This window comes from Homo sapiens, chromosome 1 (assembly GCF_000001405.40).
Source record: "Homo sapiens chromosome 1, GRCh38.p14 Primary Assembly".
In the NCBI taxonomy this organism is placed as follows: domain Eukaryota; kingdom Metazoa; phylum Chordata; class Mammalia; order Primates; family Hominidae; genus Homo; species Homo sapiens.
Window position 1 is genome coordinate 64,805,469 of NC_000001.11, and position 15,032 is coordinate 64,820,500.

The 15,032-nt window shown below is 35.3% G+C and overlaps 1 protein-coding gene across 3 annotated transcripts in view; it reads left to right on the forward strand.

The window, feature by feature from the left end:
- RAVER2 (ribonucleoprotein, PTB binding 2) overlaps nucleotides 1–15,032 on the forward strand; it is an 88,158-nt gene that overhangs the window by 60,394 nt on the left and 12,732 nt on the right. For 2 of the 3 annotated variants that reach the window (NM_001366165.2, NM_018211.4), the window contains exons 9-11: nucleotides 1,738–2,006; nucleotides 7,270–7,381; nucleotides 9,236–9,372. In NM_001366165.2, the coding sequence (NP_001353094.1) occupies nucleotides 1,738–2,006; nucleotides 7,270–7,381; nucleotides 9,236–9,372 (518 nt within the window). Of the gene's footprint in view, nucleotides 1–1,737; nucleotides 2,007–7,269; nucleotides 7,382–9,235; nucleotides 9,373–15,032 lie in introns of those variants that run through there. The other variant, XM_011541706.3, reaches the window with a different exon arrangement.

A 15,032-nucleotide genomic window follows, 5' to 3' on the forward strand; every position in this document is an offset into this window, starting at 1 on the left:
AAATCTAGTATTTATAAATTTAAAGTTTGATTATTTATTTGTATTATTTAAAAAAATTTAACCTCTAAATCAGTAGTCAAAACTAATGTGTGTACTATGTGCTTCTAAAAACATGGCAAACAAAATAGCTTTTTTGGCAGGAAAACAGAAGCATGGTGTTATACTAAGACTTCTTATTTGAATGTGATTTTGAAGGGCATTTTCAGCTTGAAGCTTAATTGAAATTTGCTTAGAAGTGAGCATGCTGAGTAAAAACAGAAGGGCCACCAATAATTTAAAAAAAAGTCAATTAAATATGCGTAGCTTACTTAACCTTTTGTCCAGTGATCAAATAACTTAGTTCTGACTGTTGAAATTGACTGGACAAAAGTTAAGCCAGTGAAGAAATTTTGTGATATCATGGGGTCTGTATTTCCAAAAAATTAAATTTTTTATGTCTAAAAGCTTATGCAAATATGTATTATTTGTGTTGGATTAACTAATAAATTATTTGCTTTAGTATATGCCGCTTTAAGAACACTGAAAAGTCAGTGTCCAAATAACTATATTCTAAACGTTAGGGGAACCAAAGTATCCATCTCTAAATGATTATTACTAAAAATAATTGAAGAAATTTGTTTAGTAAATTTATAAAATGGTAAATCTGACTTAGTTGTCAAAATTAGCTTTTTCCATTTAATTTTGACCTATAGATTTTTTAAAAAGTGGAACGGTTCAGAATTTTCCTATTAAAACTTTTATTTGCCAGCCTGGGCAACATGACAAAACCCTGACTTTACTAAAATGCAAAAAATTAGCCAGGCATGCTGGCACACGCCTGTGGTCCCAGCTACTCAGGAGGCTGGGGTGGGAGAATCACCTAAGCCCAGGAAGTCGAGGCTGCAGTGAGCCATGATTGTGCCACTGCACTCCAGCCTTGGCGATGGGAATGAGACCCTGACTCAAAAAACAAACAAAAAAACCCTTTTATTTCTTCCAGAATTTCTTGTTATTTTCTGTAAATAAAAACATAAAACTTTCATGTATTTAGTGCTTATCTATTAACAAATACTGATTTAAAAAAAGAAACCAGTGATATGCTGATAAGTGTTTAACAACCAGCTCTCTAGGTTGAAAAAAAGGGCTTGATTTGTAGCATTTGTGCATTTCTGTTTGTGAATACTCCAGCTGTGACTGATTTCAAGTTACCAATATGAAGACACTTAACTTGATAGCTGGGAAGAGATGTGTATTAATAGCTCTCATGAGCTGATGGAAGCCAGCTAACCAAATTTATTATTGGAGTCAATCAAACTTCATTAAATTTTAATTTCAGATAACTTTTTAAACTTAAAACTTAATTATTTCCTTCAGTTATGGAAACAGTCAAGTTGCAATGACTGGGCATAAAAAAAAGCACTAATACAGCTTAAATGCCAAAAAGTACATAAACTTTGCCCTCAACTTTAACAATATATAATTAACAATTATATATAGAATTTAAAAACTTAAAAATTCCTTATCATTGAGGTTACCCTGAAAGTTGCTGAAAATAAGAGCATTATTACTATTGTAGGTTTTTGTTTTTTTCATAAAGGAACCCACTAATTAACAACCTCTAACCTTACCTTTTGCTGTTATCTAACAGGTACAAAATTGGTTTCTCTGCATTTTGCTCATAACTTAACAAAATTAAAAGGACTATTGTGAATAAATATTTTCTAACTAAAAGCTTTTTGCATTTATGGTTTGCTACAGCATCTAGCCTGATTCCAACTCAAACAACGATAACAGCTGGAATGGGCATGTTACCATTCTTTCCAAATCAGCACATTGCTGGACAGGCTGGGCCAGGGCACAGTAATACTCAGGAGAAACAGCCAGCCACGGTGGGAATGGCAGAAGGAAATTTCTCAGGGTCGCAGCCTTATCTTCAGAGCTTTCCAAACCTTGCTGCTGGAAGCTTGCTGGTGGGACACCATAAGCAGCAGCAAAGCCAGCCAAAAGGCACAGAGATAAGTTCAGGGGTAAGAAAACTGTGGGTGCACACAGATGTATATATACATGTATATGTATATATATTCCTTTTAAATTATGTCTTAAATTGTCGTGTCAATGAAATGATGACTTTTTCATAGTTTACATTTACTTTTCAAAATTGAAGAAAACATTGCATTCTTTTAAAAAATCTGTTATAAATAAAGCAAACAAAAAATCCATTTTTTGATAAGTTATGCTAGCTGGCATTTGGGACTATCTTAATTATTTGCCAGTTTGTAAGTAAAGTAATTTTAATTTGTGTAAAATGAGTTACGTCTCTTATAAATAATTTAAATGTGGATTCTTTATTCCTTATAAGAGAATAAGGAATTTCCAAAAAGTTTGTGATATACATGGTTTTCAAAAATACTTGCTATTTTAAATATAAGATATAAACTAGTTTAAGTTCAGAATTTTGTAGTTTGAAAAAGCTTAGGAGTATCAATGCTTATTCGCTTACGTAGTAATGTTATTTGTAAGGCTTTCTAAGTACATAGTAATGCTGTTCTTTCAAATATACTTTTTTCTATCTTAAATATATATTTGGTAGCTAATTAAAGTATTTTAATATTTAAAGGCAGAACCAATTTTATCCGGAAAATATCAAAACCAGCTATTAAACTCTGGTCTGTTCAAACTAATCTGGTCTCTCTTTTAATTCTGGAAGATTTTACCGAATCATTTTATTGGCTAAAATACCACTGATATTTATAAATGTTGTAATAAGTAGGTAGACTAAAGTACATCTAATTTTTATTATATTTGTACCCTAAAATACACTGTGGTTTGTAAGTGGTATAAAACTTAGGCTTAAGCAGTTTGTAAGGAAAAAAAATCTATGTAGTTTCTTGTATTCAAGTGTCAAAATAATAATACTGAATTTGTAAGAGGTTTTAGTGTTACCTAGCCATAGCAAGAGGTATGACTAGAATGCCCTGCAATTGTATATTGAGAAAGCTAATGCAGTCCTTTTTTTTTTTTTTTTTTTTTTTGAGACCAAGTCTTGCTCTGTTGCCCAGGCTGGAATGCAGCGACACAACCTCGGCTCACTGCAACCTCTGCCTCCTGGGTTCAAGTGGCTCCCCTGCCTCAGCCTTCCAAGTAGCTGGGATTACATGCACACACCGCCATACCTGGCTGATTTTTGTATTTTTAGTAGAGATGGGGTTTCACCATGTTGGCCAGACTGGTCTCGAACTCCTGAGCTCAGGTGATCTTCCCGCCTCGGCTTCCCAATGTGCTGGTATTACAGGTGTGAGCCACTGCACCTGGCCGTCAATTCTTTATAGAATGAATTTTAAAAATTTATCTGCAGTGTTCATTGCTTGGGTTATTGAGGGAAATTACACAAATAAAACTTGTATATGAATACTTCATGTCTCTTTGCAATCTTTAATTCACTGAAAGCCTCAGAGTCTTTAGAAGAACTGTGGATTTTAGGTGATTCACATAATGGGCAAATGAGTCTATCTACAAGAGGACAGCCAAAATGGGGGCAGGTTCTGGAAAATAAGTCCTGTGAAGAAGAATTCAGGAGAAATGGATATATGGAACCTGGAAAGGGACAACCAAACATATACATTGTTAAAGCTATTTAAAGAGTAGTCATACAGTATTGTGTGTACCTCCAGTGGGCAGAACTGGCTATTAAGTACAACATACAATAAAGCAGATTTAGGTTTAATATAAGGAAGAACAATTCAAGCTTTTAAGCAAAGAGAAAGTTTATTTCACAAAGATGTGAATGTCATATCACCAAAAGCAATTAAGCAGAGCCCAGGCAAGCATCTGTAAAGGATGTTGTATTAATAGAAATGATCCCTCTTTCTGTCAGTAGGGGTTGTACCAGGTAACCTCAGTGTTTTCTAATTGTGAGATTTTAGACTTGGCTGAAATGATTGGTTTAACTTTGCTTCAGATGTTTAGACCTGCATCTTTAATATTGTGTTGGCCAGTAAGTCTTGAGTCTACCTTTTTGTTTCCAGAATCACCTCTAGTGCAAAAATAAATAAATAAATAAATAAATAAATAAATAAAAGAGATTTGGACCCCAACTCCAACCTTTGAGAATTTTATTCAGGGAGACAGGGATGATAACCAGTTTCTGTTTATTGTGGTAAAATATACATAACATACAATTTACCATTTTAACCATTTTAAGTGATGTGGCATTAAGTACATTCACATTGTTGTGCAGCATCATTACTCTCCATCTCCAAAACTTTTTCATCATCTCATACTGAAACCTGTACCTGTTAAATAATAACTCTCCATTTTCTTCTCCCACTAGCCCAGGTAACCACCGTTTCTACTTTTGTCTTTATGAATTTGACTATTCTAGGTACCTAGGTGACACAATATTTGTCCTTCTGTGTGTAGCTTAGTTCACTTAGCATAATGTTTTCTAGATTCATCCATGTTGTAGCATGTATCCAAATTTCCTTCTTTTCTAAGGCCGAATAATATTCCATTGTACGTATATACCATGTTTTAATTCAGCCATCCATGGACATGTGGGTTGTTTCTACCTTTTGTTTATTGTAAATAATGCTGCTGTGAACATTGGTATCTGAGTCCCTGCTTTCAATTCTTTGGGGTATGTACCCAGAAATGGAATTGCTGGATCATACCATAATGCATGTTTAATTTTTGTTGGAACTGTCATCCTTTTTTCCACAGCAGCTGCACCATTTTACATTCCTGCTAGCAGTGCACAGGGATTCTAATTTTCCAACATCCTTGCCAACGCTTGTTTTCTGTTTTAGCTGTCTGTAACAAAAATACCATAGACTGGGTGGTTTAAACAACAAACATTTATTTCTCACAGTTTGAGAGGCTGGGAATTCTAAGAGAAGGTGCAAGGTGCCAGCAAATCCAGTGTGTGATGAGGATACTGTTCCTGCTTTACAGATGACCATCTTTCCATTCCATTTTCACATGGTAAAAGGCTGGAGCAAGACCTTTCATGTCTCTTCTTATAAGAGCACTAATCCCACTCTTGAGGGCTCTACTTTAATGACCTCATTACCTCCCAAAGGCCCCACCTTCTAAGACCATCATATTGAGGCTTAGCATTTCAACATATGAATTCTGGGGAGACTTAAACATTCAGTTCGTAGTGATAGCCATCCCAATGGGTGTGAAGTGGTGTCTCATTGTGGTTTTGATTTGCATTTCCCTAATGATTAGTGATGTTGAGCATTTTTGTGTGTGCTTACTGGTCATCTGTATATTTTCTTTGGAGAAATGTCTATTAAAGTTTCTGCCCATTTTAAATCAGGTTCATTTTTGTTGTCATTGCTCAGTTTTTAGGAGTTTTCTACATACAGTTGACCCTAGAACAACACGGGTTTTAACTGCACAGGTCCACTTATACTTGGATATTTTCCAAGAAATATAGTGGGAAATTTTTTGGAAATTTGAAAAAGTTTGAAAAAACTCACAAATGAACCCCATAGCCTAGAAATATTGAAAAAATTAAGAAAAAGTTATATATGTCATGAATGCATAAAATATATGTAGATATTAGTCTAGTTTGTAATTTACTACCATAACATGTATACAAACCTATTATTAAAAAGTTAAAATTTAGCAAAACTAACATACATACTTACAGACCGTACATGGCACCATTCACAGTCAAAAGAAACGTAAACCAAAATAAAGATGCAGTATTAAATCATAACTGCATAAAATTAACTGTAGTGTGTACCGTACTACTGTGATAATTTTGTAGCTACTTCCTGTTGCTATTGCGGTGAGCTCAAGTGTTGAGAGGATCCACTTAAAATGCTGTATGTTGCTAATCATCTCCATGTGAGCCATTCATCTCTCCAGTAAATTGCTTATTGCAGTAAAAAGTGATGTCTCGTCATGCTTGCATATTTTTCATCATGTTTAGTGCAATACCATAAACCTTGAATAACATCCTACAATCCATAAAAATGCCACTAGCGATACTAGAAGTGCTCTCAAGAAACAATGTCATGACATTGTAAGAAAAATTCGAATTGCTTGATGTGTACCACAGATTGAGGTTTGTAGCTGCTGTTGTCCACCATTTCAGACAGATCCATATTGTAAACAAATGATGTAATTTATGGTATTGATAAATACTACAGTACTGTAAATGTGTTTTCCTTATGGTTTTCTTAATATTTTCTTTTCTCCACTTTATTGTAAAAATACAGTATATAATACATGTAACATACAACATATGTGTTAATTGTTGGCTGTTGGTAAGGCTTCTAGTTAACAGTAGGCTATTAGTAGTTAAGTTTTTGGGTAGACAAGGGTTATACATAGATTTTCCACTGTGTAGGGGGTTGGCACCCCTAACCCCCATGTTGTTTCAAGGGTCAACTGTGCTAGAATCCTTACACCTAACTAATACATAAAAATATACTGATATACATTTTCAAGAAATGTGTATTTCTAGCATCATCTAAATGTGGAGTTGGAGTTTATTAAACTCATTTATTTTGTTTGACATTATTTTTAGTACCAGAGGTAAATAAGCTTTGCTTTTGTTATTTGGTCATAAAATATAAAAATCTCAGTAAAAATATTGATAACAGGCCAGGCGCGGTGGGTCACGCCTGTAATCTCAACACTTTGGTGTTGAGCCAACACTTTGGCCAAGGCGGGGGCATCACGAAGGTCAGGAGTTCAAGATCAGCCTGGCCAACATGGTGAAGCCCCATCTCTACTAAAAATATAAAAAAATTAGCCAGGCATGGAGGTGCGGGCCTGTAATCCCAGCTACTCAGGAGGCGGAAGCAGGAGAATCGCTTGAACCTGGGAGGCGGAGGTTTCAGTGAGCTGAGATTGCACCATTGCACTCCAGCCTGGGCAATAGAGTGAGATTCCATCTCCAAAAAAAAAAAAAAAAAAAAATAGGTAGATAGATAGATAGACAGACAGACAGACAGATAGATAACAGTGTTTCTGGAAAAGAGATATGGAATTTGGTTTTTCTTGTGAAGATGAATTCTTTCCTGGTTCAAATGAGAAGGTTGTATAAGATGTCCTTTCATTCTCTTTTAGTTCTAAAGTTCTATGGCTCTACAATAGTTTTTTAAAAACCTAATTGAACAACTAATAACAGGTGAAATGTGATAATTTTAGTGAACATCCATAAATATTTCATAAGTACACTAGATGTATTGAAAAATAAGTATTTCTCTATTCTTTATTTTTATTTTCGTGTACCTCTCATTAAGTACTCCCTCCTTTGTTTTTGTTAAATAGGCTGCCTCTAAGAATCAAACTTCACTCTTGGGAGAACCACCAAAAGAAATTCGGCTCAGTAAAAATCCATACTTGAATTTGGCAAGTGTGTTGCCCAGTGTGTGCTTATCATGTAAGTAGGGGCTCAGTATTCTTGTTGTGGAGTTTTACTGAATACTTTTCATAATAAGTTTTACTTTAATTTTTGACTTCATGGAAGCAAATAATACCTATTGACCAAATTAAGGCCTAAATTATTCTTTAAATTGAAAGAATAATTAAAACTAAGACACTCAAAATGCGTGCTATTTTATTTAAGGAAAACATTACAACTCATAGAGAGTCATTTTTCTTAACCAGAAGTTTAAACCTATAAGTAATCTTATATATCTTGAGTATTTGAATACTCCCAGAATGTATGAGCTACCAATAATTGGTGGAAGTGGAATTCTCATTTACATTTTGGAGGAAACCCTCAAGCCTTCAATTACTATAAATCAACTATTCATTCAAATATCGTTTTAAGAGAAAATCACAAATGTGATGTGCTCCAGGCACAAGGATGTTCACTGCAACATTGGTTGTAAATAGTGGGAAAACTGGAAAATACTTAATATTTGTCAATAGGGGAATGCTTAAATAGTTCATCATAAAATTGAATACTGTGCAACTTTTTTTTTAATAATTGAGGGATATCTACATATACTGATATGAGATGAACTCTAAAGCATATTTTGGCAAATATATGCATAAAATGATTCCATTTATGTTTATTTAAAGTTATATATCCTTACATGTATATACTTGAGAGTGCAAATGCATGAAGTAAATCCAAAAAAGTAAATTCTAAACTATTACCTCTGGGAAGAAGAATAGGATTAAATGAAAAGAGATGAAAGATGAATTTCATTTTTAATATACATCCTCTGTATTTTATGAAATATCCTTGAATCCAAACATTAATTTGTAATTTTTTTTGAGCTGGAAAAAAATGTAAAGGCACTTCTAGTATACCTGTTATATATTGATCTGGTCTAAAAATTGATGGTGACAATTATTACATTTATAAGAATGGTTAGTTTACATTTTATATGCCTTGTTTTAGAGACTAGACACACACACACACACACACACACACACACACACACACACACACACGTTTTGTTTTGGGTTATTTATTTATTTATTTTTTTATTATACTTTAAGTTTTAGGGTTTTGCTTTTTTGAGACAAGGTCTCCCTCTGTCACCCAGGCTGGAGTGCTGTGGTGTGATCTTGGCTACTGCAGCCTACACCTCCTGGGCTCAAGTGATCCTCCTAACTCAGCCTCCCGAGTAGGTGGGACTACAGGCATGTGCCACCATGCCCAGCTAATTTTGTGTGTGTGTGTGTTTGTGAGACAGAGTCTTGCTCTGTCACCCAGTCTGGAGTGCAGTGGCATCATCTCGGCTCACTGCAACCTCCACTTCCTGGGTTCAAGCAATTCTTATGTCTCAGCCTCCCAAGTAGCTGGGATTACAGTCATGCACCACCATTCCTGGCAAATTTTTATATTTTTAGTATTTTTATAGAGATGGGGTTTCACCATGTCACCTAAGCCAATCTCGAACTCCTGGGCTCAAGTGATCCTCCCACCTTGGCCTCTCAAAGTGCTGGAATTACAGGCATGAGCAACCGTGCTCAGCCAGACATATATGTTTTTGAACCTTTCCACCAAAATTATTTACCCATGAGACAGGTGTCCATTTTAAGTTGTTCCAAATGAATAAGACAGTATTATATACTTCTCAGGGGAAAATTATTTAGTTATATATTGGCAAACTAAAATTTTGTTCTATTTGATAATGTGCTGAGTTACAATTTATAATAAAATATAATTTGTTTATAATATAACTTATAATAAAATAATTTATTTAAAATAACCTAAATAAAATAAATTTATAATAAAATAACCTAAATAAAATAAACTTGTTGATTCTGCCTTTAGCCCCTGCAAGTAAAACCACTCTTCATAAGACTGGAATTGCAAGCAGCATTCTGGATGCAATCTCTCAGGGAAGTGAATCACAACACGCATTGGAAAAGTGCATTGCTTATTCTCCACCTTTTGGTGATTATGCACAGGTAAATAATTCCCAGGTTCTGATGATACTCAGAAAAATTGGTTCAACTATATATTGAGTTCACTGAATATGAAATTGTGATTTCTATATTATTAACGTAGGCAAATCAAATTGCACTGATCTATGTATTTCTTACTCATCATTTGAAATTTGGGAATGTGTTCAAGACATTATTTAGTATCATTTTGCACTAGATATTTACCTCTCACTGTTTACCTAGTGGTTGGCAAACTACAGCCCATAGAACAAATCTAGCCCACCACCTGGTTTTGTAAATAAATTTGTATTGTAATACAGCCATGTCCATTCATTAACATATTGTCTATGGTGCTGTCATGCTATAATAAAAGAGTTGAGTGATGACAGTAGAGACTATGTGGCCTGCAAGATTAAATATTTACTATCTGGTTCTTTATAGAAAAATGCTGCTAACCTCTGGTTTGCACTAGTGTAGACCTAAGAAACCCAAGGGAATGCCTCTGTTCTTCTCCACTGATTGTAGATGGAGAAAGATGATCATATTTACAGACACTACTGTGCTAACTTCTAAACCAGCCAATCAATAACATAAAAATATTATGTTCATAAGATGTCCTGTGTCATTACTTAAATATTTCAGTTTTGCTTTGGCCCTTCTTCAGCTTACTCTTAGTGGTGTAAGCTGAATATATATCATGTTAGCCCTGTGTGATTATGGAATCATAAGAGTCCACAAGAGTCTTATAATTATCAGTTCTGACTCTTACTTTCCTAGAACAGCCAGCTTCTTCTCAGATCTATCCTGTTCGTTGGAGTCTTGTCTCCACTTTGATTTCCCTGGAGCAGCTTTGTGTTTGCCTGACCCATCCCTAATAAACTTAGAAAAGAAAACCACTTAGAACAATTGACGCCTGATTATAAGAGTACTAGAAACAGCCCAAGTTCTGTAAAAATGGTGCAGCTGGATATTAGTGAAATATTTGCCATCTCTTATATACCTGGGACAAGACGGAAAAATATGGGTTGGGTAGATGATGTAATTAGGTGACAGTATATCTATATTTAGAGAACAGTGATCACAAATTGCTGCAGTCTGAAGGCATTCTCTTATATTGATTCATAAGAGTCATCTTCAGTCCTTTATTAGATAACATTTGAAGTAATGACTTAGATAAAGACATTAATTGTAAAATTTACAAGATATAGTCCTGTACAATTCCAATTTGTTTCTTTTCAAGAAACAAACTTTTTATAAACAGGAGAAGCACAATAAATTTTTTAAAAATTCATTAAATACATATTTAAGCTTTAAAAATTTTTTGAACTTTTATTTCTTTTTAAATTTGCCTTTTTCTTAGCAGTTTTGCTTATTAGATTACTGTGATTTATTGTATACTTATATCCATGGAAAGACTTTCTCATTCACACATGGAGAAATTCTGTGATAATGATGCCTTTTGCATTACTGTATGTCTTCTGCCTCCACACTTGCTTGCCCAGAGATATGGTGGGGAAATGAATCCTCCCTGCACTGTTCAGTGTCTCCTTTGACAGTCCCTGCTTCTAGCGCACGCTTGTTCATAAAATGGGATTTGTTCTCTCTCTCGTGTTCTTTCTTCCTTATAAACTTAATTAAATGTTACTAATGGAACATTAAAGTACATGGAATTAAACTAATGGAATACTAAAATAACCATTATAGAAAAAGGTGGTCGTGTATTAGGAATTCCTTTTACTATTTCCACTGCTGGGATGAAGGAAGAGGTCTAAGGGAAAGGAACCAAAAGTGTTTGTTTTCTTTTTAACACTTGCTATATGCTTTGTGACATAAGTGATTACTATTTCTAAAAACCCTGTGAGATTTAGTAAACTGGCTAGCCATATGTAGAAAGCTGAAACTGGATCCCTTCCTTACACCTTATACAAAAATCAATTCAAGATGGATTAAAGACTTAGATGTTAGACCTAAAACCATAAAAACCTTAGAAGAAAACCTAGGCAATACCATTCAGCACATAGGCATGGGCAAGGACTTCATGTCTAAAACACCAAAACCAATGGCAACAAAAGCCAAAATTGACAAATGGGATCTAATTAAACTAAAGAGCTTCTGCACAGCAAAAGAAACTACCATCAGAGTGAACAGGCAACCTACAGAAGGGAGAAAATTTTTGCAATCTACTCATCTGACAAAGGGCTAATACCCAGAATCTACAAAGAACTCAAACAAATTTACCAGCAGAAAACAAACAACCCCATCAAAAAGTGGGCAAAAGATATGAACAGACACTTCTCAAAAGAAGACATTTCTGCAGCCAACAGACACATGAAAAAATGCTCATCATCACTGGCCATCAGAGAAATGCAAATCAAAACCACAATGAGATACCATCTCACACCAGTTAGAATGGCAATCATTAAAAAGTCAGGAAACAACAGGTGCTGGAGAGGATGTGGTGAAATAGGAACACTTTTACAGTGTTGGTGGGACTGTAAACTAGTTCAACCGTTGTGAAGTTGGTGTGGCGATTCCTCAAGGATCTAGAACTAGAAATATCATTTGACCCAGCCATCCCATTACTGGGTATATACCCAAAGAATTATAAATCATGCTGCTATGAAGACACATGCACACGTATGTTTATAGAGGCACTATTCACAATAGCAAAGACTTGGAACCAACCCAAACGTCCATCAGTGATGGACTGGATTAAGAAAATGCAGCACATATGCACCATGGAATACTATGCAGCCATAAAAAAGGATGAGCTCATGTCCTTTATAGGGACATGGACGAAGCTGGAAACCATCATTCTGAGCAAACTATCACAAGGACAGAAAACCAAACACCACATGTTCTGACTCAGAGGTGAGAATTGAACAATGAGAACACTTGGAAACAGGAAGGGGAACGTCACACACTGGGGCCTGTCGTGGGGTGGGGGGAGGGGCAGGGATAGCATTAGGAGATATACCTAATGTAAATGACGAGCTAATGGGTGCAGCACACCAACATGGCACATGTATACCTATGTAACAAACCTGCACGTTGTGCACATGTACCCTAGAACTTAAAGTATAATAAAAAAAAAACCTTGTGAGATTTAAATGATCACCTTCATTATACAAATGGAGAAGGGATAAATAATCTCTCCAAGTTCATACAATTGGTAAGTGATTTCTTGATTTCAAAGGCCACATTATTTATACCATTGAGAAGTTTCTTCAGGCATGGAAGTAATATCTCAGAGAAACTGTGTAGGCTGCTCTGCTTATGGATTAGGAGAGATGAATATGTCAAGGCATAGAGGGACAAAATAATCTTTATCTCCAATAAAACTATCAGATTTAAAAACCTAATTGGCATTTCCATTATTGATGTTGTTGCTTGTATCATACTATCTCCCTACAGATAACCATTATTAAAACTGGACTAGGCTGGGCGCGGTGGCTCACACCTGTAATCCCAGCACTTTGGGAAGCAAAGATGGGCGGATCACAAGGTCAGGAGATCGAGACCATCCTGGCTAACATGGTGAAACCCCATCTCCACTAAAAATACAAAAAATTAGCCGGGCGTGGTGGTGGGCGCCTGTAGTCCCAGCTACTTGGGAGGCTGAGGCAGGAGAATGGCGTGAACCCAGGAGGCGGAGGTTGCAGTGAGCCGAGATTGCGCCACTGCACTCCAGCCTGGGCGACAGAGTGAGACTCCGTCTCAAAAGAACAACAAAACAAAACTGGACTAAATATGAATGAAAACCAACTACTTGAAAGCACTAGAGAATGAATGACCAAAAGCAGGCAGAAACGGGAGAATTATTCCTTGAAACAGGAAAACATCACTGTATGGTATTTGTGTTTCTGTAGCTTTTTGCCTAATACCACTCCCTAGATGGAGAAAGCTGCAGTCTCACTAGCTTGAGGAGTCAGAAGACAGAGTTCAGGACTGTTAGCAAGGCTGTTAAGTGAAGGGGGGACATCGTGGAAAAGAGGGGGTTGCATAGGAAGGAGTCTCAAAATCTATGTGTAAACTTAACCCAAATACTGTTGGCTGGCCCCTAAACTGTGTTTGTCTGAGGAAAACTCCAAGGGACCTGGTAGAAAACAGCTGAAAGGCTGAAAGAACTGAGAAGAGATTCAACTCCTCTCCAGCACAGAGGAGACAGAGTTTGGAATTTGAGTTCAGCAAAGTTAACTCCTTCTAGAACAAAAATCAACACTCATCAGAGGAAGATAATAGAATCTGTAGGCTCTACAATATATTATAGTAATCAATATGTCCAGTAGAACAAAATTACTAGATAGTTGAAGAAGCAAGAAAATGTGACCCACAATTAAGAGAAAAAGTGGAAACGACCCCAAGGTGACCCAGATGTTGGTCTTATAGACAATAACCATAAAACAGCTATTATAAATATGTTTAGGAACTTAAAAGAAAATAAAGTAATAATGAACAGGTATGGAATCTCTGCCAAGAGATATAAACTAAGAAATAAAAATTTTGGAACTGAAAACTATAGTATCTGAAATAAATACACTAGATGGGCATAGCAGAAGATTGGAGAGGCCAGAAAAAAAAAGGTTCGGTTAACATGAAGACAACTCAATCTGAGGAACACAAAGAAAAGAGATTTTTAAAAGCACAATGAACATATCCTCAGGGACCTGAGGGAAAATATCAAGCAGTCTAAAATGCATGTAAATGGAGTCCTGGGAGAAGAAGAGAAAGATAATGGGGGCACATATTGTTTGAAAAAATAATGGTCAAACATTTTCCAAATTTGCTTCAAAAAACTTACAGATCTAACAGGCTCAGAGGCCCTCCTGCAAAGCAGGATAAATAAAAGGAAATTTTTACCTAGGCACATTATAATTAGTATGCTGAAAACTATAGTTGTAAAGAGATAATCTTGAGAGCAACCAGATAAAAACAATGCACGTTGTCTTGAGACAGGTTTCTCAATCTTGGTACTATTAACGTTTGGGGCTGAATAATTCTCTCTTAAGTGGGAAGGGCTATTCTTTGATTGTCGGAGATTTGGCAACATCCTTGTCCTCTAACCCCTAGATTGCCCCCACCAACACACACACCATTGAGAACCACTGTGTTAAGGCAACAGTAAACATGCAGGTGACTAAAAAAGACTATATATTTTCTCTTAGTTTATTTAAAAGCAAAAATTGTAACATATAGGGTTTATAATGTATATAGATATAGTATATTTGATAGCAATAGTGTAAAGGACAATAAGGTAAATGAAATTATGGTTTTGGGGTTATAATATTTTACATGAAGTACATCAAAAGTAACTCTAAGTAGGTTGTGATAAGTTGTGGAACGCATATTGTAATCCATACAGCAACCATTAAAAAATTATACAAAGAGATATAGCTAAAATATGAATAGTTTAATTACAATGAAATTATGAAAACATGTGATTAAGCCAAAATATGCCAGGAAAAACAAAAACAACTAGGTCTAATAAAAAACAAATATCCGAATGGTAAACCTAAATTGAACAGTAGTAATAATTATATCAAATGAAAATAGACTGCATGCTCCATTTATAACATATTTTCTTTTTTAATATTTAAAAATTTTTAATTTTAGGTTTGGGGGTACACGTGAATGTTTATTACATAAGTAAACACATGTCACAGGGTTTTTTTGTACATATTATT